A 19,724-nucleotide genomic window follows, 5' to 3' on the forward strand; every position below is an offset into this window, starting at 1 on the left:
ATATTCCTTGTGATATCCTGAAAGATACATGCCATTTTAATCCCTATTTTGCACAGGAGAAAACTGTGGCACAGAAAGGATAAAGAACTTGCCCAAGGTCATATAAAGGCAAGAGCCAGGATTCAAATCCAGGCCTCTGTCTCAGCGCACGCATTTTTTTCACTCCCTCACACCCTTTGCTATTAGTCATTGTCATACCCCAGCACTTACCACCAGTGCCTTCATTTGCTCATTTATTCACCACAGCCAACACTTCACATTTGCTCTAGCATCGTCCCCGGCATGAAAGATTCATGGTAAATGTCCATTGCTTTAGGTCCTAACTGGACCACCTAAGCTTAGCCTTAGCCTAGCCTCTGATGTTCCCTGAATATGCCCTCCTCAGGGTAACTTGGCTGTTGCTGCCGTCTTTTTTTCTTTTCAGCCTGAGCCTAAATTTTTTTCTCTTCTGGGTCCCAGAGGACTCTTGTGTTGGCTGCCCCTTCTATACCTGTTAGGCTCATTTCCCAGGAGGCTGGCTTCCGTCTGTCCTCAAAGAGCTGACTTCTCAGAGGAGAATAGTTGTTACATTCATTTGGCACTTGGCACAGTCAGCCTCAGGCTGCTGGCTATAAAACAAGGGAGGAGCACCCTTTGGGAGTGAGACAGCCCTGACTTTCAATTCGGGCTCTGACATTTACTCACTGAGGGACCTTGAGCTAGTCAATTTCCAAGGCTCAGTTGACTCATCTGTAAAAATTGGTTTAATAATAGCCGTATTGCATGGGCTGAGTAAGATTGTGGAAATGAACCTACATGTCTGGCTGACAAGGGATGACAATAAATGGTAGCAGTTCTTAGTCTTGGCAATGGCCCCTCAAACTCTAATGTTCTATGAATTTGTACCCATTTCCTATGTCCCCTAGAAGACAGAAATCCCTTTCAAGGACCAGAACCATGTCTTAGGCCTCCTTAAAGCCCCTGGACCTAGCTGGCTGCTGTGAATCCAGAGGCATCTCAGAAGAGTCAGCTACTCGTCCAGCAACCTGCCATCACACCTTGAAGGCCTGTTGGGGCCAGGCCCTGTGGTAGATGCCCTGGATATCCAGGTTACTAGGATACCACACTCTCTCACTTCTCTCGAGCTCGCAGTTGATGGAGACACAGCCATAAGAGCAAGTAAAAGCAATAGCATGATAGGTAACAGACGTCTGAAGGGCTTACCACAGGTCCCACTGGTCCCAGCCTCTTAGTATTGGAGGAGAGATTGCTGGGGGAGCCAGCAGTCGCTAAGTGGGAAGGAAGGGGGCTCCAGCATCAGAATCAAGGGCTCTGACAGCTGACGCTTGATGCTCACCACCTTCCAGGTGAAATGCCTGGGATGAGCCTGTGGAGGAGGCTGGGGCAGGGGAAGTCTTTCCTCTGCTGGATAAAGGAAATGTTAGGGTCTTCCCAGTTCCTGGCCATGCTAGACTCTTCCCATCTGGAGCTGCAGAGGGTCTGCACTTTGGGGTTGTAATTCAGGTTGAAGTGTAAATGGGAGAGGTGGGGAAGGAGGATTGAATGCCTTGCATGAGAAGCATTTCCAGCTGCTGACTGAGGTGGGCAGACTAGACTGATGGGCCCCCTGGCTGTGGCCCTCCAGTCCTGACCTGGTGTCCGTGTTTCTGCCAGGACCAAGATTTAGGGCTCTGGCATCTTCTCTGGGGGAGACAGGAGCCTCAGCAAAATGAGCTGGGATTTCAGGAGGGGCCACTTCCCCTTTCCCTTCCCAGAAGGAGTGGCCAGAGCACAGGCCTGGCCTTGAGGAACCACTGGCCTGGGCGGAGGTCTGAGGTTAGCTCTGGAGTGAGGCTGAGGGCAGGGTTATCTGGAGACGGGGCCGTGTCTTAGGGGTGTGTGGGAGGAGGAGGGACACAGCTAATGAGAAGCAGGTGGAAGGGCTGCTCATGCCCCAGGCAGGGGACAGGCTGGCTGGGATGGCCCAGTAAGTAGGAGGACCTGTCACCTCACAGACAATCCCACAAAACAGGCTCCGGGATACCCATTCATATTCATTATATGTGAAGTGGGCGGTTGTAAAGTTAGCTTTCTCTTCATTTAGCTGTCACTGGACAGAAAAATATGAGCTGTGGGCAGATGCCCCTGGATGAGAGCCAGTAGCCAGTCTCTGGCCTCTCTGTGCCCTCCCCTAGGAGCCCCCGACCCCGCCATGGGTCCCCTCCTGGCCTCTGCCAGCCTCTCCCACTCTTGCTTCATTGACCTCTGGCTCACCTTTATTTTTTCTCCTGTCTCTTCCCACTTCTGGTTTCTTTGTTTGGGTTTATCACAGATCCTTTCCTCTTCCCTCCTTTCATATTTCTAAGCCCTCTCAAGAGAGAAGAATCATATTTTTCCTCAACCATCGCTCTATCTCTGGCACCCAGCACATTGCCAGGCTGAGTTGGCACTCAAAAATGTTTGTAGAACAAACTACTCTCTCTATACATCTTTCTGACTTGGTGGGGAAGAAGGTCCAAAACTTTGCTGATGACTCCTTGGATGAAGAAACTTCTCATACAGTGGTGTGAGCCCTGGAGTCAGAATGGTTGGCTTGAGCCCCAATTTCATTACTGCCTGGCCAGGTGAAGGAGATTCTGTTCATCAGTGGCAGCCAGGGATGTCTCTCCTTCCTACCCTGACTCTCCTCTTTCTGCTGGGTCCCCTCCCGGATACAGGGCTCACACCTGTGGACCTCAGAGCCAGCGTCAAGACCAAGAGGAAAGAAATCACCAAAAGCCAGACCCTTGTATAGAGGGAAGGGGAAGGAAGGGAGGGAAGACAGACTCCTCTGGGGATACATGCGACTGTCTTGGCTGGGAAATCTGATCTGGTGGGGGACTCACCCCCTCCTCTCGAATCAGCTCAGCCCTGATGTGTCTTTGTGGGCTTGGGTTTCTCTGTGCCTGAAAGATGAGGCGTGGGGTGGGGGTGGCCGGGCTGCTGGTTGAGGCTGAATTCTTCTGAGCAATGTGGTTGTGTTTACTGGGAGGGTGGGAGGGCCAGACCTTTTTCCTGCCTTCCAGGCTTCGGAGATAAGGCAGAAAGTGAGGATGAAGGATAGAATGGGTAATACTCTGAAACCACAAGAAAGAGTTCTGGCTTTTGTCTCTGCCCCACAGCTCAGACATTTCCTGGGGCATCTGGAAGGAAGCTGACCCACTCCCACCACCCTGGGGTCCCAGCCCATGGGGAGCACAGAACCTCAGTGGGCACCCCTTTCTTCCATTCTACCTCCTTTCCATTGTCAGTTTAGCCACAAAATTATTTTAGCTTTTTTACTGCCAGTCCCACCCTCAGTTTTCCCTGCCACATGAGCCCAGCCCTAGAGCTGAGCTTTTCTCCCTGCCTCCCAGCACAGCCAAAGCCACAGAGACCCTAGGCAGGTGACAGAGCCCAGCCTGGCATGCATCGGCCTTGAGGGCTCTGCTGCAGGACCACCTTCCCCTTCCTTGCTGGCCTCTCAGGGGTCGTGGCCAGCCTGCATCCTGGACACAGACCAGCCCCAAAGCAACCAGTGCCAAGCCCTGGGGATAGACAGTCACCTGGTATAAAAAACACCACCACCTTTATTAGAATGCTGGGCAGCCTTTTTTTTCTCTCTCTCTCCTTTTTTTTTTTTTTAAACAAAAAAAACACAAAAGTGTCTGTACAAAAATGGGGATCAGGATCTCAGTCTGTAGAAATCTGTTTTATTCTTACCAACATCCAATATCATTTCCATGGCATAGCTCTGGGCTGGTCCCGTGGAAGAGATTCCAAATATGTGGTGATTTCTGGTGGAATTTCTGCCCCCTTGGAGGGGAAGATGACTGCATGGCATGCTGGGAGTGCAGGCACATGGCAGGAGTGAGGGTGGCTGGAGCTGAGGAGCCAGTGTGCCTCAGTCTATGCTGACCTTGGCCTTTACACCCTCCTTAGTGTCAGACACCAGTGCGCCCCCTGCTGGTGGGGAGGGGAAGCAGGGCTGACTCCACCCCATCATGGGAGACTCCCTTTTGGTTTCCATCTCATCATGAAGAGCTTCAGTCCACGCGGCGTTCTCCTCCCATTTTCCTGGGTTCCCTGAACGATGAGCCAAGTAAGCTGTCTTAGCTGGAGAGATGACAATGGACTTGGACAAAGTCTGGAGGAAGCAGGGCAGTGTCTCCCTGCCTCCAGCCCAGAGTTCAGGTGAGGGGACTCAGTTTGTGGTAGGAAGAGTCCTGGCTGCTTCGAAGCCCCTTCTCCTAGGCAGCCCCACCTTGTTCTAAGAGAAAAGACCCTGTAACGTGTTCCCTGCTGGGGGCTGACAGTGCCAGCTGCTCTCGCAGCCTCCAGAACCATCTGGGGCTTGGAGGCAGAGGTGGGCTGGGAGCGACTGGGAATGGAAAAAGAGGTGGGCAGCTCATTCTGCAGGTCCATGCAACCGATCACGTGGTCCAGTTCAGAAGGCCGGGTGGCTCCTTGGGCTTTACCCTGAGCGAGACGAGGCTTGGAGACTTATAGTCACCATCTGAGGAAGGCTCAAAGCTGTGGCCCCCCAGGGTGGGGGGAAAGCCATGGATGGAGTAGATGCCAGGGTGAGCCGCAGAAGGGGCTGGCACCCCCATGAAGCCAGCCACACTCCCATGGGGGTGGGAATATGGAGACATGCATGGGGAGGGGATGCCCTCTGGAGACACAAGGCAGGGGCCTCCAGGGCTCCCAGATCCTGGACTGGCCCACAGGGAGTTCTGCAGCTGAAAAGAGAGGGAAAGAAGGCCCATGAGCCTGTAGCCTCAGGAGCTGACTTCCCTACCCAGGGGCTTTCTCTTTGTCCTTGGGGCCCCAGAAACTTTCCAGGAAACCTCCACTTGGCTCAGATCTACCCCCTCTCACCCCCAACACTGGCAGTGGCATCTCAGGAGGCCCCTGCCACTGTTCTCAAAACGAAATTTTCTTCTGTGATTCCTTTGTGTTCCGCATGCGTCATTCATGAGACAGGCAAGAGCCCCGGTTTGCAGAGAAAGAAGTGAAGTGGTGTACCCACTGTCATACAGAACGCTGACGCTCTCCAGGTTTCTTCAGGCCAGACCTCATATTCTTTTTGGTGACCCTGCCAGGTCCTGGTTCAGGTAGGGCTGGGGTCTTACCTGAGGGTGGCTGTCAGTACGGGGCAGCACAGAGATGTCATAGGCAGCCGTGAAGGGGTTCCGCCCCTCCTGGATCTTCCCATAACGCTCGCGCTTCCGCCACTTGGCTCTGCGGTTCTGGAACCAGACCTGGGGGCAGGTTGTGGGGGTTTGAGGGGGTGATAGGGCAGCCCTGAGGAAAGGAGCCTGCTAGGGAGAGCTGATGGTTGTGTCCTCTTGTGGGATGGGGAGCAGGCTCCAGGATGGAGGATCTCAACTGTTAATCCACACTGTTCTCCAGGCCAGGGAAGCCTGGGAGGAAGCCTGGGAGAGGCCCAAGCCCACAGTGGGTAATTGGCCCCATGGGCCTCCAGCTGTCACTCCCCAGGTTGAATCACTGTGGTCCTCCAGCCTGGCTGTGTCTAGTAAGGGTGTTGTGGGGGCATCTGTGGGCCTCAGGGGCCCTAGGTACTTCCTGGGTATACTGTGTACATGTGTTGGGTTTCTAGTCTCCCTGCCTCATCTCCTTTTCCAGGCTACCCACCTCATAGCATCCGAGGAATCTTAGACATTTCTGTTCAGGTCATGGTCCTGTTTAAACCCTCAGTGACTCCCTGGAGACCTTGGTCCAGAGCATAGCTTCTTAACAAGGCCCCTGCCTCTCTGCACAGCCTCATATCCTGCCAGGCAAACACATTTATTCTTCTGGTTGCCTCCCAAGCTCCCGCCCAGCTCTTCTGAAACACTGCTATCTTGCTCCTTCCATCTTTTGCTTAGGTTTTCTCTTCCTGGGCTACTCATCCCCTCAACACATACATCCACACTGGGCATCCTCCACAGGACTTCCAAAATACCCTGGACCTCTCTTTGTACTCACCCCATTCCATTACCATGATCTGTTTTGGAATCTGTTTCTCCCATTTATTTGTGAGCCCTTGGCAGATAGGGGTGGCACATCTGTGTGTTGTGCACATCTGTGTACATATCTGTGATGAATTCGTTGTTTGGTATATGTGCTGTGACTGTTACATTTAACTGTATTGGTATATATGTTTTGTATTTCTATCATTTAATCAACATTTATGTGTCAGCCTCTAAGCTAAATTTAACAATGTCAAAATAAAACCAACCAAACAAAACAACCCCTGCTTTCCAGGGATATCTAGCTGGGAGTCACAACAGAAGAAAGCTGTGTGTGTGTGTGTGTGTGTGTGTGTGTGTGTGTGTGTGTGGAGTAATCCGTCTACCCCAGCTGGGATCAGGCTTCCTGCCCCCATGGTCATTCCTACACATGCAGGCAGGTAAGGCACCAACAGTGAAGGGGCTGTGCATACCCCATCCCCCTAGCTCCCAGATTGCCAAGATAAGAAAGCAGGCCTGCAGCAAGGTCAGCAAAAGGCCACCCCCACCTGCCCAGCTGCCTGGATTTCCTTTCTCTGCTCTCCCTCCCCTGACAGAGGATGAGGGAGCTTACAGCCAGTGAATCTGGCTATTGGAACTCACTTTTCTGTCACCACCCATTCTCCCTTGGGGATCCCGCTGTAGGCCTCCCCTGGGCTCTGGACCTGCCCTCTGCATTATCTGGTGTGTAGTCTCATTCTTCCTCTCCATAGGGCAGGGTGTATGGGTGGGTTTCACACCCCTGCCAGAGAAAACATTCCTACTCCAGGGTCTCCATCCTTCAGGAAGCTTCTAGACTAGGGGTGAGGGCCTCATGGCTACTCCTGCACCCTCTCAGGTTGAAAAGGCCTAGGAGAGGAGCAGAGGAAGTGCTCTCCACCTCCCACAAACACTTGCTTTGGGAAGAGCTGGTTAGACCACACCCCGGAGGCCTGCTGAGGTGACTCCATGGTCCTGATTCCCATGGCTTATATCATCTGGGGTTGCCTTGAATGCCGGGCCTCTTGCCCTGATGACCTCAGCCCCTGGAGGCCTTGGGGGACAGTCTTGGAAGTCTGTTTTGGCTCCTCGGAGGAGCAGGGAGGCAGGAGAACGCAGCAGAGAAGGGGAAACAGCCCAAGCCTCTCTCATCCTGTTGGATGCAGCCGTAGGGCCTTCTCTGTTAGATGACAGCTGGCCTCTTTATAGACTGGCCTGTCAGTCCCCATATCCTGCCAGGACTATCTCCTGCCCTAGTGCCTTCACAAAGGGTCTCTGGAAGGGCCCCATGCAGGGTGGGATAGCATGAGCTTTGTTCCTGCTAAGTCTCCTCCATGGTGGGAGAGAGACTCCTCTGCCTAAGAGGTCACCTCCTCACCTTTCCCCAGAACTCCAACCCACCCCTCCCAGTGTCTCCTGCTTGGTATCGGGAAGCCTGCTTTGATCGAGCCGGTTCAGTGCAAGCCAGTGAATGGCCATCTTCCTCTTGGGCCAGACTCTTACTGAAACTCCTTCCCCATCCCCAGCCTGCTTGCCACCTTCATGTGCTTGACACTTCCAGCATGCTTGGACGTGGGCTTCCCTTGCCTTCCTCCCTTCTCAGCATTTACCTACCCACAGGCTGGGCTCCCCCCATGTAAAACTGGCCACGGCCCCTCTGGGAAGCCCTGGCACCTGATCTCCATGGGGGATTTTGTTAGGATGGGGAAGGGCTCCCAGCCAGCCTTTCCCAGCCAGCCTTTCCCAGCCAGGGTCTGAGCGCTGGCAGGGACCCAAGGTCGGTGGCTCCTGATGACTTTGAGAATCACTAACCCTGAGACCTCCTGACAGGGACCCTCCCATTCTAGGCAGCCACCTCAGGAGCAGCCCTGATGTGTGTTCAGCACTTCACCGCTTCCAAAATGCGGCCATCCCTGTGATCCTCAGGATAGTCCCTACGCAGCCAGTCCCATCATTCCCTTTTCCTGAACTGGGAAACTGAGACTGAGAGATCTATTAACATACCCCAAATCACCTCCAGTAAGTGGTAGACTTTAGGACTCCCACACAGGTGATGGCTTCCAGAGGCCATCGCCCTTATACCCAGGCATAAGCTTCAATTTGGACCAGAAGAGCCTGTGGCTGCAGCAGAGCTGGGCATGAGGGTGAGCCCAGGAGGGGAAGGCTGGTGCAGGCCCCTGGGAAAGGTAGCTCTGGGAGGCACCAGTGCCCACCTCTCCCAGCCCTTCCAGATCACTTTCTGGTCACTGTGTGATAGGGGCAGCCAGAGAGCCCCATCCTTGCAGTGCCCTCACCTGTACCCGGGCCTCAGTCAGGTCTGTGCGCAGGGCCAGCTGCTCCCGGGCATACACATCAGGATAGTGGGTTTTCTGGAAGACCTTCTCCAGCTCCTCCAGCTGGAATGTGCTGAAGGTCGTGCGGTTACGACGCTTCTTGCTCTTGTTCTTGGCCAACTCCATGGAGTCAGGGAGTCCCGGGGAAAGAGGAAGATGCAGGCTGGCCAGGCAGGGGCCTGGGGAGCCTTGCAAGTTAGAGGGCCCGTCTCTGGGGCCCCCTCGGCAGTCCAAGGGCAGCTGGGGGAAGCTGGCAGCTTTGGAGGTCTTCTCCTCAGCTGCAATGGAGAACACAAAAGGGAGGATGGCAACTGAACCAGGGGCTTTTGTGGGTTGGAATGGAGGGAGGGGGAAGAACATTGACGCCTCAGTCTCCGCCTCCCCCTTCCTTTCCCTTCCCTTCCTCCTGGCAGCCACCCTCCATGGGAGCCTGGCATTTAGAGGCCTGCCTGCTGAGCCTCCAGCTGGGGAGGGGGCCCTGGGGAACTATGTGCTCTGTGGTCTGGGCGGATCTGCTGGGGCCAGAGTGGGGTTCATTTCGGGGAAGTGCTCTGTGGTGGTGCGTTCCACAGGGACGTGAGAGGACTGGCGCCACAGCAGGACCACCACCCTGGCAAGGCCAAGAATGGGGGCAGAGGGCGGGGTGAGGATGGGGTGGTTGACATCTCCTGCTCCTGCCAGAAAGTGCTTCCTTGTTCCTAACTCTGCAGGCCTTGGTTCCCAGGCCCTTATGCCCACGCCTCTGTTCCCAGGGCCAGGCAGGCTGTGGACGTGGGTGCTCAGACCACCTTTGGCTGGTCTGGCTGAGCTTTATTCTCTGAACCCCAGGTCTCAGGTCAATATCAAATTCCCCAGCTCTGGTGTAAGAAGGGCAAGATGGGACAAAGAAGCTTCCAGAGGGATTGCTTCTCTCCATTCCTCCTAAAATTGTGGTATCTGGGCAAGGACTTAAGCTCCAGCAATAGAGAAGCAGAGCTGAGATAGGCTGTGCTCAAAGAAGGAGAGTTGGGGACCAGTGTCACAACAGGGCACAGCCCCTGTCCCCATCATTCCCATCATTGACCACCCCCTCCTTCCTCAGGAGTTTCTAACTGCTCCCCCATTGCCTGTGTTTAACAGGCAGGGAAGGACTTGATTACAGACTGGAACAGTTTCCAGCAGCCCCACTCTGACATGCTAACCCCTACTCCAGAAGCTTGGCGGAGCCTCACCATGGTGGATCGACCGACAGAGCATGGTGAAAAATAGGTCACTCTGATTGCCCACACCCTCTCCCTCTGGCAAGGACCCCCAGCGGTGTCCCCATGAAATCCCTCCTCAACAGTCCACTGGGATGGCAGCTGAGACGCCACAAAGACGCCCCACTGACTCACACAGCCTCTTGCCTGGCTCTGGGCCCATCTCCAGTGGAGGCCTGGCCCTGAGGAGGCCCAGCTAGCTGGCACAAGAGGCAGTGTCTTCCCAGGACTTGGTGTCAGGATCACAGCTGTGGTTGGGGGAGGATGGGACTGGACAAATGGGCCTCTCAGGATCTGGGTCTGGTGAGTCCCTGTCTGCACTGTGAAGGACAAATGGGGCAGGGTCCTCCTCAGCTGGAAGGTGGTCAGTTACTTTCCAGGACTACCCAGGCCATGAGATAAGCTCCTGGTGTGTGTCCTGGAGGACTGGGAGAGTCGAGCAGGGCTACCTAGCCTTGGACCATGCCCAGCCTGTACACAGGCCTGTACACAGGTAGCCCACAGCTACAGCCCAGGGACCAGGGCTCCTTCACAACTCAGGTGGAGCACAGGGGAGAAAGTGTTCCAGTCTCTGACTTCCATTCTTGGGCCAGCACATTTCAGGTTTAGAGGCAGTTCCATTTGATAGAAGCTTAGGAAGGAAGACTCACAGAAGTTGAACCAAATAATTGAAAATGATAGGAAGACTAGGGACACTGGAATGGGACATCCCCCCCCCCCGCCCCCGCCACCCCCACCACATGCATACACACAGCAGGCCATGGAAATGTTCAGCCTGAGAAGAAAGAGTCTTGGTGTCTTGTGTTTGTAGGGAGGCTGTGCTGGACTCCAGGCAGAAAAGGGGTGAGGGTAGCTCAGGGCTGAGGGTCAGGGCTGGGGTTCAAGAGTACTGACATCCTGGCAGAGGCCCTCCAAAGCCCTGGGGCTTGCTCATCTGCCTCTTGGGTCTCAATAGGACCTGCCCAGAAGAAGGGACCAGATCTGGGGCCCTGAGACTTGCGTTCCCGACCTTGAGCCACCAAGCTGCCAGGGACAAGGGATGAAAGTGCAGTAGGACTTCTCAGAGCAGCTTCCCCAAAGAAGAGGCTAAGCCTGCTGACCTATGCCCAACTCCCATGCCTGCCCAGTCTACAGCCCTCTCAAGGGACCACGGAACTGCTCTCCTCATTGTCATTGCCCTGAAACCTCCTTGATCTACCTGGAGAACACCAGAGGGAGGGTGGCATCCCTCCACTTTGGGAGAGGGGCACTCCTCAGAGAACACAGAGCAGCCTCCTGAGGAGCAAGGCCCAGAAGAGGAAAGGGATAGAACTGGGACAAATGGAAGGCAGAAGCCAGGAAAGACAGGCCAGGAATAGCAGCCAGCAGCTTGAACCTAAGCTTGTAAAGGAGTGAGGGCTGCTCTGCTGAGCACGGGGCACATCTGAGGTGTGTATGGATTGTGCAGAGGAGTCACTGCACCTGATCCGGACACTAGGTGGTTAAGGCGGGGTACTCATGTTGGAGACAGCCTGAGACAACGCTGGGGTGTCTTCTGCCTGCATAACCGCAGGGCCACAGCAGCAGCTGTTGGGCGTGAAAGCCAGGAGCCTTTTAACGTAGTAAAGGAGCTCTCTGTCCCTGACCCAGCTCTCAGGCCTGCCGTACCCTGAGCACCCCTCACCCGGAGGAGTGCCAGAGCCCCTACCAGCGGCTGCTTCTAAGCCACTGTGCAGCCAGGAAGCAGCGCCGCAGCAGGCCCGAGTGCTCCACTGTCCCCACAGAAGGCATCCATTGAGACCGCGGGACCAGCCTTGGCTTTCACATTTCGCTGCAGCCTTGTCCCGCGCCGCACTGTTTCCTCCGGCCACTGTGGGGTCACTAAGCGACCTGCAGAACTCGCTGAGGCCCAGGCTCCTGCAGCTCCCGCCGAAGACTCAAAGCCAGAGTGGACATAAACGCCGTGGGCAGGACCCCGGTGAGGCCTCGGTGCCCTTCTTGGGGGTTCTCAGCGTTGGCCCAGAAGCCTCAGCCCGGGTCTAAGAACTTGGGACTCTCCTCGACTTTGGCGATCGGCCGGGTCATCCGGCTCAGGGCCTCAGCGGCAGCGGGCAAAACTCTAGTAGGAGTCTCTTGCCGAGGGCGTGTTTCGACGTCAGAGCCAAACTCGGGACAGACTAGCCAAGCGCGGACGGCGCGAGAGTGGCTGGCAGCGCCAGCACGCAGCCTGGGTTCAGAGCAAGGCTGGGCGCTCTCAGCAAAGGGCGGCCTGGGGCTGCGCGGGCGGCGGACTGCAGGCGGGAGAAGAGCGAGGTGCGCCAGGCTCTGGGGCGCGCAACTGCCCAGCCTCGTGAAAGATCGCGCCGCAGATGGGGCGCAGCTGCGCGCTCACTCGTGTGGACTGGAAACGCTCCGAGCCGGTTATTTTAAAAACCGGGAAATAAGGCGGGTTCCCTCTTCGCCCGCCACTTCCCACCAAGTAGGCTGTGCGGCCCTGGGGGCTGACTGTCCTCAAGCAGCCAGGCTCCACCGCGCGCCGCGCTGCGCCGAGGTCCGCTCTGCCGCAGGGACGCTGGCAGCCCGTTGAACACCGGCAAGAGCGCCAGAGGCTAGCGGCCGCCAGGATCTCTACCAGGCTCTGCTCGCACCCGCCTGCCTCCCTTTCGTTTGGCCTGTCCTCCGTTCAACTGAAATCGTTAATTTTCTTACCCCCTTGTTCTCATTTTGATATATTCTACGCTTTAAACATGCTCCGTTTTCTTTTGTTTAGTCTGCTCCCTCCCTCTTTGTCCTTTCCCCCTTCTCTAGTTATCCGTTTCGTTCGATCTTGCTCCTGCTTTTTTTATTCGTTCGTTCCTCATTTATTCATTTTAGTTCATCCCAGCTCGCCGACTGCCATTTACCCTCTCGTTCTCGCCGCGCTCTCCGTTGTTTTGTTCAATTTCCCTTCCCCTTTTCTTGGTTGTCGCTCGCTTTCTTTGGTTTTCTTTCTCGGTATTTCGTTGTCAAGGCCACCCTTGCCGTCGGATCCCGGGGTGCTGGGTTTCTCCCGGCCGCTCGTTCCGCACCAGCGCTCTCTGCAGTTCGCGCGGCACCGGTGTGGTCCGGGGGCCCGAGCTGTCGGTGCCGGATGCGGCGCGCCTAGCAGGGACGCGGGCCTGGGGGGGTGGCTCCTGCCCGACGCGGAGCGCTGAGCCAGGCCGGGTACCTGTCTCTGGCGGTGCTCACCGCACTGCGCGGCCTCTGCCGTCTGGCTGGGATCAGAGGAGCCAGGCCAACTGCTTCTCATTAAGTCCCAACTGTGGTTTTTATCAGGAAAGCCTCTTTCAAAGGGCACAGACACGAAGCTCCGCGGACTCGTTCATTTCCTCCGTTGACCCACACACACCTCCCCGCCCTCCCCTACACATTCCCACCGCCCCGGCTGGGCGAAAGCCGGAGATGCCCGGCCACTCCGTGGAGGCCCGCGAGGCGCCAGCCGGGCGGCGGCAGGGGGTTGAGGCGGATCTTGGAGGATCCAGTTCTGGGCCTAGGCTGCGGGATATGGCAGCGCAGATAAGGTGGGTGCAGTGCGGAAGCCGAGACGCCTTACAGGTCATAGGGTGCGGCGGACGGCCGCAGAGCTGCCGATCAGCCTGCCAGGCCCCTGCCTTCAGGCGCATTCTCGGATGCCGGCGCGGTCCAGCCGGCCTTAGCACAGGGCACCGGCCCGTGAGCCCGCGGCGCCAGGGGGTTAGGCTGCCCAGGGCTGCTCCTGACTGCCCAGCGGTGATGATCCAGCGCGGGGAAGCCAAGACTGCCAGAAGGGCGGCTATCATAGTGCATAACGGCAGGGAGGCCAGCTTAGTATGAGAAATAAGAATACAGTTATTCCGTCTTGAGGACAGCCCTGGCATTGCACGACCAGTCGCGGCCAGACTGTGCCAGTCTGCCGCACAGGCAGCACCCTTCCTGTGAAGGCTAGGCCCGGGGAGGAGAGACGGGCCAAGACCAGGCCGCAGTCCCCAGCCGACCCCGATTTGACCACTCTAGGTTGAGGCCCAGCCTCAGGGCCCTCAAAGGGCGCCAGACACAAAAGCCGCGCTTCTTCGTCAGGTCTCAGTGTGGCTCCACAGCCCTCGGCCGGGTCTGGGCTTCAGGGTAGGTGGCAGTTCCAGTCCAACTTCGGCAGAGCATGCTCTCTCCTTCCCAGGTCCAACTGCTTTCGGGCCCCGACTGGACTCCGGGCCGTCGCCACTGCACCTTCCCTCGACCTCCCGCCTTCCATTCCCGCCGCCGAGGAACGGTGGTTCACCCTCCCGCCCCACACTGGCCTTTGCCTGGCCCGGGCCAGCGCCAACCCGGCTTCCGTGGAAGCCGTGGCGAAAGGCGAGAGGGGCAAAAAGTTGAGAAATAGGCGAGCGGGAGAGATAAGCAGGAAGGCCCGGGTGGGCCCGGGTAAGGAAGAAGAAGAGAGGGTCGGGCTGCGCGCTACGCCCCGCGCCGCGCGTTACCTTCCGCGGGGCCCTCGTAGAAGTGGCCGCCGTTGAGGGCCGGGCCGGGCCCGAGGTCCTGCAGGTACTTGGCGGGCGGCTTGGCCGGCTCTGGGAGGTAGGGCTCCAGGGGCCCGCAGGCCGGAAAGCGGGTCAGCCGCGGGCCGCGGGGCGGCGCGGGGTGCAGGTGAGGCGCAGCGGCGGGGGTTCCCTGCGGGCCCGGAGGCTCGTCCCCCGAGGCCACATAGGGGCCGGGTGCAGGCCCCACGCGGAAAGGCGCGCAGTGCTCGGGGTCCATGCCGGCTCAGGGCGCACAGGCCTCCGGGGCTCCGGGGCTCGCGCTGCCCGCGCCGCCTGTGAGCGCCCGCCAAGGGGGAGGGACCTGGGCGCGGGGGCGCGGAGCCCCCGGGAGCGGCGCGCGCCGCGGGGGGCGGGGGGCGGGGGGCAGGGGAGGGGGCCGCGCCTCTGACTTAATGCTGGAACCATCCACGTCACGTGTGGCCCCGTGCGGGTTAACCCCTCGGAGCCCGGGAACCCCCTCCCCCCATTCACCCAGAGCCCAGTCCCAGGCAGCTCAGGAGAGGATGAAGCAGCTTCCTCTCTAGGGCAGGATCCCTTTGTCTACCCATCCAGGTGAGTCTCTTGCTCAGAGCAGCACCCGTGGTCCTGATATCCAGCCTAGAGGCACTTGCCCCTAGAGGGGTGAGGCCGTGTGGGCATCCCCCCCAAACACTTTTGGGCCTGGACTCTGGACATCAGCCTGGGATGAGGGCCTGGGCGGGCAGACAGGCAGGCCTTAGGCTGCAGTTTTACTTAGGTCTCCGCTAGGAGCTGGACAAAATGTTGCCTCAGCAAAAAACACCTCCCTTAGAGATCTCTTGTTTCTCACAGTGAAAGGAGCTATTGGGAGTGTTGTGTGGAAGCAGATCTAAGCTGGGAATGGGGTGCTGGGGAGCTTGGACCTGGACACTATCATTAATTAGCTATGGTTCCTTGCGCCAATCATTAGTGTCCTCATCTGACTGTGGAGGTCGGGCCAAGCCAACCCTGGGTCTTTCTATGTATTTGAGGTGTGTTTCAGAAGTAGAGACAGGGCCAGAGCAGACAGGGAGACTCCCATGGGCAGCTCAGGACTGAACAGTGTCCTGCAGGGGCAGCCTTTGGAACAGGTGGAGGATGAGCAGAAGGGCTGGTGTTTCCTCTGGCAGCAGCTTGGAGTGAATGCGTTTCAGTGGGCAGATGACCCAAGTGTCTGGGGACCCACTGGAGAGACTGTCTGCAGCTCGGACCTCAGGGCTGTGCTCCCCCAGGCCTGACGATTCAGAAGGGATGAGGGTAGAACTGCATCTTCTAAGAGCTGAGTCTCCCCAACCAAAAGGAGACAGGATTAGAGCAGTAGCTTAGAATTTCAGAAAAGAGAAATAACCACCACCCTACCTAAGATCTGGGGAGAAATACCCAAGGACCCGAGGACCCTGCTCACTTCCCATGGATTGAGGAGCCCGTGGGGCTGCGTTAAACTGTTTTTATTATCAATGCCCCCGGAGACTAGCAAGAGAGGTGGGGAGTCAAACATCATTTGTATTTCATTTGAATTCTCAATTTTTAAAGGAATCCAAGAGGCCTGGTGTGAACACCTCCCTCTTCCGCTGGGGGCTTAGAAGGGGTTTCTTGGCTCCTCAGCCAGAGTTGGGCTGTAAATCAAGACCAAACAGGAACCAGAAGCCTTGCATCTCACAAGGAGTCATTAAGCCGTTATTAAACATACCATAACTTCTCTGAAGACTTATTGGTTTCAACACCACCTTGGAGGCATTATGGCCATTAGGGCCCCTAATCACGGAATGCAGACTGGCCAGAGAGATGGGAGCACCTGGGGCTGGTATTTCTAGTCAAGAGGGAGGCTCGGCTTGAAATTAAGCTTCCCTTCTGGCCTCACCAGAGGGATCCTTTCTCCAGGATCTAGTGGATCCAGCTCTGGGCAACCAATTTGAACCGATCACCTTTGCCCATTAATAAGGTTTTTCAATAGTTGTTGATTGGATATTGTTTTCTTTTCTCTCTTCCCCATACCTGCGAAATTGGATATTGTTGACTTTCTAGGAGGACATCAATTTAGGATACCTATTCTATTCAACAGTTATCAAGAAGTTTACTATGGAGGATGAAAATATCACCCAGGAAAATGTCACCAACAATTTAAACAAGGCAGCCTGGATCAAAGGCTGAGTCTTCTGCCTCCCATGACAACCTTGCTGAGCCTCAGTTTCCTCATCAGAAAGGTGGGCCACACATGGAAGTAGGGTATTTGCAAAGCATTCGTGTTTTGATGCACTGTGTTAATTTAATAGATGCTGATGATGATGGTGATTACCATCTCCAGTGGGTTCCATCACTGAATAGGTGAAAGGCTCCTGACTTCAGAGTGAATGGGCCTAAGGCTGGAGCTGAGCAGAGAGACACAGGGACCTGCATCCACTTTCAAGCCCAGAAATTTCTCTTGACATTCTCCCACTCTCTGAACAGAGCCAATTTCCATACTGGGATGGTGTTACCAATTAAACTGAGGAGAGAGAAAACCCTAGATTACATGAGAGTTTTGTGGGTAAGTGGAGTTGACCTTCCTGGGAGAGTTTTCTTCCAGAACCACACAAATCAGCACACGGGGAGGAGACTTTTCCACTTGTCTTTTAAGCCGTTTGTGTAAACTTTTATCTATCTGTATGTGGTCCGGAAAGAGTTTGATGGAGCAGGTGCATAGAAACCTCAAAAACAGCAATCTCAGAGTTAATAAATTTTCCTTCTTAGGGGGGCTGGGAGATCATGGAGTGTCACAAAGGCCCTCATATTATAGGTAAAAACAACAGCTAACACTTACGTATACCTACAGTGTGCTGGGTGCTAGCTCATGTATTCTACGTACATTGGTTTATTAATTTTTATTTTATTTTATTTTTTTTAGATAGAGTCTCACTCAGTTGCCCAGGGTGGAGCACAGTGGCCATGATCTCAGCTCACTGCAACCTCCACCTCCCAGGTTCAAGTGATTCTCCTGCCTCAGCCTCCCGAATAGCTGGGATTACAGGCATGTGCCACCATGCCTGTCTAAGATTGGTTTATTTAATCTTCACAGCTCTGTGAAATAGGTACCCTGTTTTCTAGAGAAGGAGCCTGAGGCCAGGAGGGAGCCATTTGTTCAGGTAGACACAGCCAGTTAGTGCCAGAACCAGAATTTACACTCAGATCCGCGGTCCCCCACTCCACACGACTCCTCAGTCCTTCTTCAGTTAACGAAGCTGAAATCATTCACTGTGCACCCTCATTTTCCCAGTGGGAAGGCTGGGACTCCTTCCAGAAAGGAAGGCTGAGGCCAGAGTGGCCTGGGGACATTGCACTGCTGCCTTCATGATCAGCAAATGGCATCTGTTGAGACTCGTATGCCTAGCTGCGGCCACTGATACAGTAGGTAGAGGGTGGTTTCTGCTAAGCTGAGACCAAATGAAACAGAGTGCTTAACACTTGAGAGGTTTATGACCAATGCAGCCAGATGTGGGGCAGAATTTTAAGGGAATTTGTGAATTCACCATTTGTGCTGTTTAATAACCAACTGAATTATAACAGCATTTGTCACTGAAAAATTGTCCATGGAGTAAGAGATGAGTGGATGGCGAGATCCAGATAATTCCAGGCCCTGTAATGAAAAAACTGAACAAAACCCCTCTCCATCTGCTAAGAAGAGCTACGTTTTAAATGGAAATGATACTTACTAGCTGTTTTACACCAGCTGAATGTTTAATTCATTCATTTAACAGGAGAGCCTACCATGTGATCCCCATTTGCTGGTACCAGGATATAGTGGCACACACGACATGTGATCCCTGCCTTCACAGTGCTTACACTTTGCTGGAATGGAAGTGTCTCATCCACGTTGAAGAAAATCATCCTCATTTGGCTGTGAATTAGAATAGAATCTGGTCTTGTGAGAAGAGTTCCTGGCTCTGGGCCTCAACTGTAAGGTCAGTTCTTCATTTAGGGAAACATCAGCCCCAGCACCACTTTCCGTTTCATTCTCTGCTTCCCTCAGCCTGCACCACAGGAAGGACATGTGCTTCTTTTTCCCCCAGTGGATTTCCAGAAGGGATAGGGACGATGAGAAAGAGGTAACCTCAGATCTGAGATTTGCTTGACATACACAAAATTTCCTTCCAACAGGGAAAACTCAGTTGCTTTTTTTCCTTCAAAGGAAAGACAGTTGGTATTACCTTTGTCCTGTTTAGATACTGAAATCCTAAATTGATTCATATAAAAATTCTGGGTTTGGGAACCCAAAAGATTGTTTCTCATTAGTGACATTCTTCCTGGAAGGGCAGGCTGAGGAATGGTAAATAAACCTGTGGATCTGGTGCTTCCTCCTCACTCATGATCTCAGACAGAGAGAGAAAAAGACAGAGAGAGAGAGAGAGAGAAGAAGCAAAATGATAGGAAAAGAAAAGAAAAAATCTTTGTGTTGTGGACACCCAGAATCCTTGGCTGTGATTCTAACAACCCAGGCTGAAGTCTGCTTTGGAATAAGATTTGTGGGATGTTTTTTCTCTTTCATTGATTTGATCTGTTTCATTGGGAAAGACACTTAACCTCTCTGTGCCACAGGTTCTTATGTGAAAATGGGAAGAAATGAGTCTGTACTCCAGCTTTATGGGAATGAATGTGATAGTAATTATACACATGTTTCTTGAGCCTGAATCCACCACTGAACCTATGGTTTTCTGCTCATTCTCTCTGCCCAGCTTACTGAGGTTGGGTTGTAATGGAGGGAGGGGGCCAGAGAGGCGGAGATGTATCTCTTCTCTGGTAGGCCTCAGTTTGACCTATTGCCTTTGTGTGAAGGTGAATAGGTTCTTCTGTGGCAAGTGCTGGCATGGACCATAGAGAAGTCATTTTGTAGAGGAGTTTTTTTTTTTTTTTTTGAGACGGAGTCTCTGTCGCCCAGGCTGGAGTGCAGTGGCGTGACCTTGGGTCACTGTAACCTCTGCCTCGTGGGTTTAAGCAATTCTTCTGCCTCAGCCTCCCGAGTAGCTGGGATTACAGGCATGCACTACCACACCCTGCTAATTTTTTATTTTTAGTAAAGACAGGGTTTCACCATGTTGGCCAGGCTGGTCACAAACTCCTGACTTCAGGTGATCCACCTGCCTCAGCCTTGCAAAGTGCTGGGATTACAGGTATGAGCCACCACGCCGAGTCTTGTATAGGAGTTTTTGATGAACTAATTCTTGATATAAAACAGACCCTTCTGTTTTAGGTTAGACTTTTTGGCCATTTTAACAGTTTGATTAATTTTATGCATTCCTTTATTCACCAAGCATTTATTGACTGCCTGCCATGTGCCAGATAGTGGAGTCACACAGTAAGAATAGATCCTGAGAGAGTACCACTTACTCCCAGGGCTTTTCCAGACTAGCAGAAGAAAGACACAGAGCAACAGGCATTTACGCCATGGAGTGTGACTCTGCTGAGGCTGGGAGAGCACAGGGGGCCTGGGAGCTAGGAGAAGGGCAGCTGTCCCAGCTTTGGGCTGGGGGCAGCTGGTCATGGAATGCTTTAAGTTTGAATCTGAAAATCTGGAAAGTTGAGTGGGGGATGCCTGGGTGAAGGAGTACTAAGGGGCAGAGAGAGAGGGCATTCCAGAGAGAATGGCCCAAGAGTGAAAGC

The 19,724-nt window shown here is 54.5% G+C and overlaps 1 protein-coding gene across 1 annotated transcript; it reads right to left on the bottom strand.

Moving 5' to 3' along the window:
• Positions 3,568–14,370, bottom strand: ALX3 (ALX homeobox 3). Its single transcript, NM_006492.3, has 4 exons — positions 14,034–14,370; positions 8,285–8,601; positions 5,133–5,261; positions 3,568–4,739 (listed from the first exon to the last, which is right to left on the bottom strand). Exons 1-4 carry the CDS (start codon positions 14,308–14,310, stop codon positions 4,431–4,433), a joined length of 1,032 nt encoding a protein of 343 aa, NP_006483.2. The 5' UTR covers positions 14,311–14,370; the 3' UTR covers positions 3,568–4,430.

Source organism: Homo sapiens, chromosome 1 (assembly GCF_000001405.40).
Source record: "Homo sapiens chromosome 1, GRCh38.p14 Primary Assembly".
NCBI classification, from domain to species: domain Eukaryota; kingdom Metazoa; phylum Chordata; class Mammalia; order Primates; family Hominidae; genus Homo; species Homo sapiens.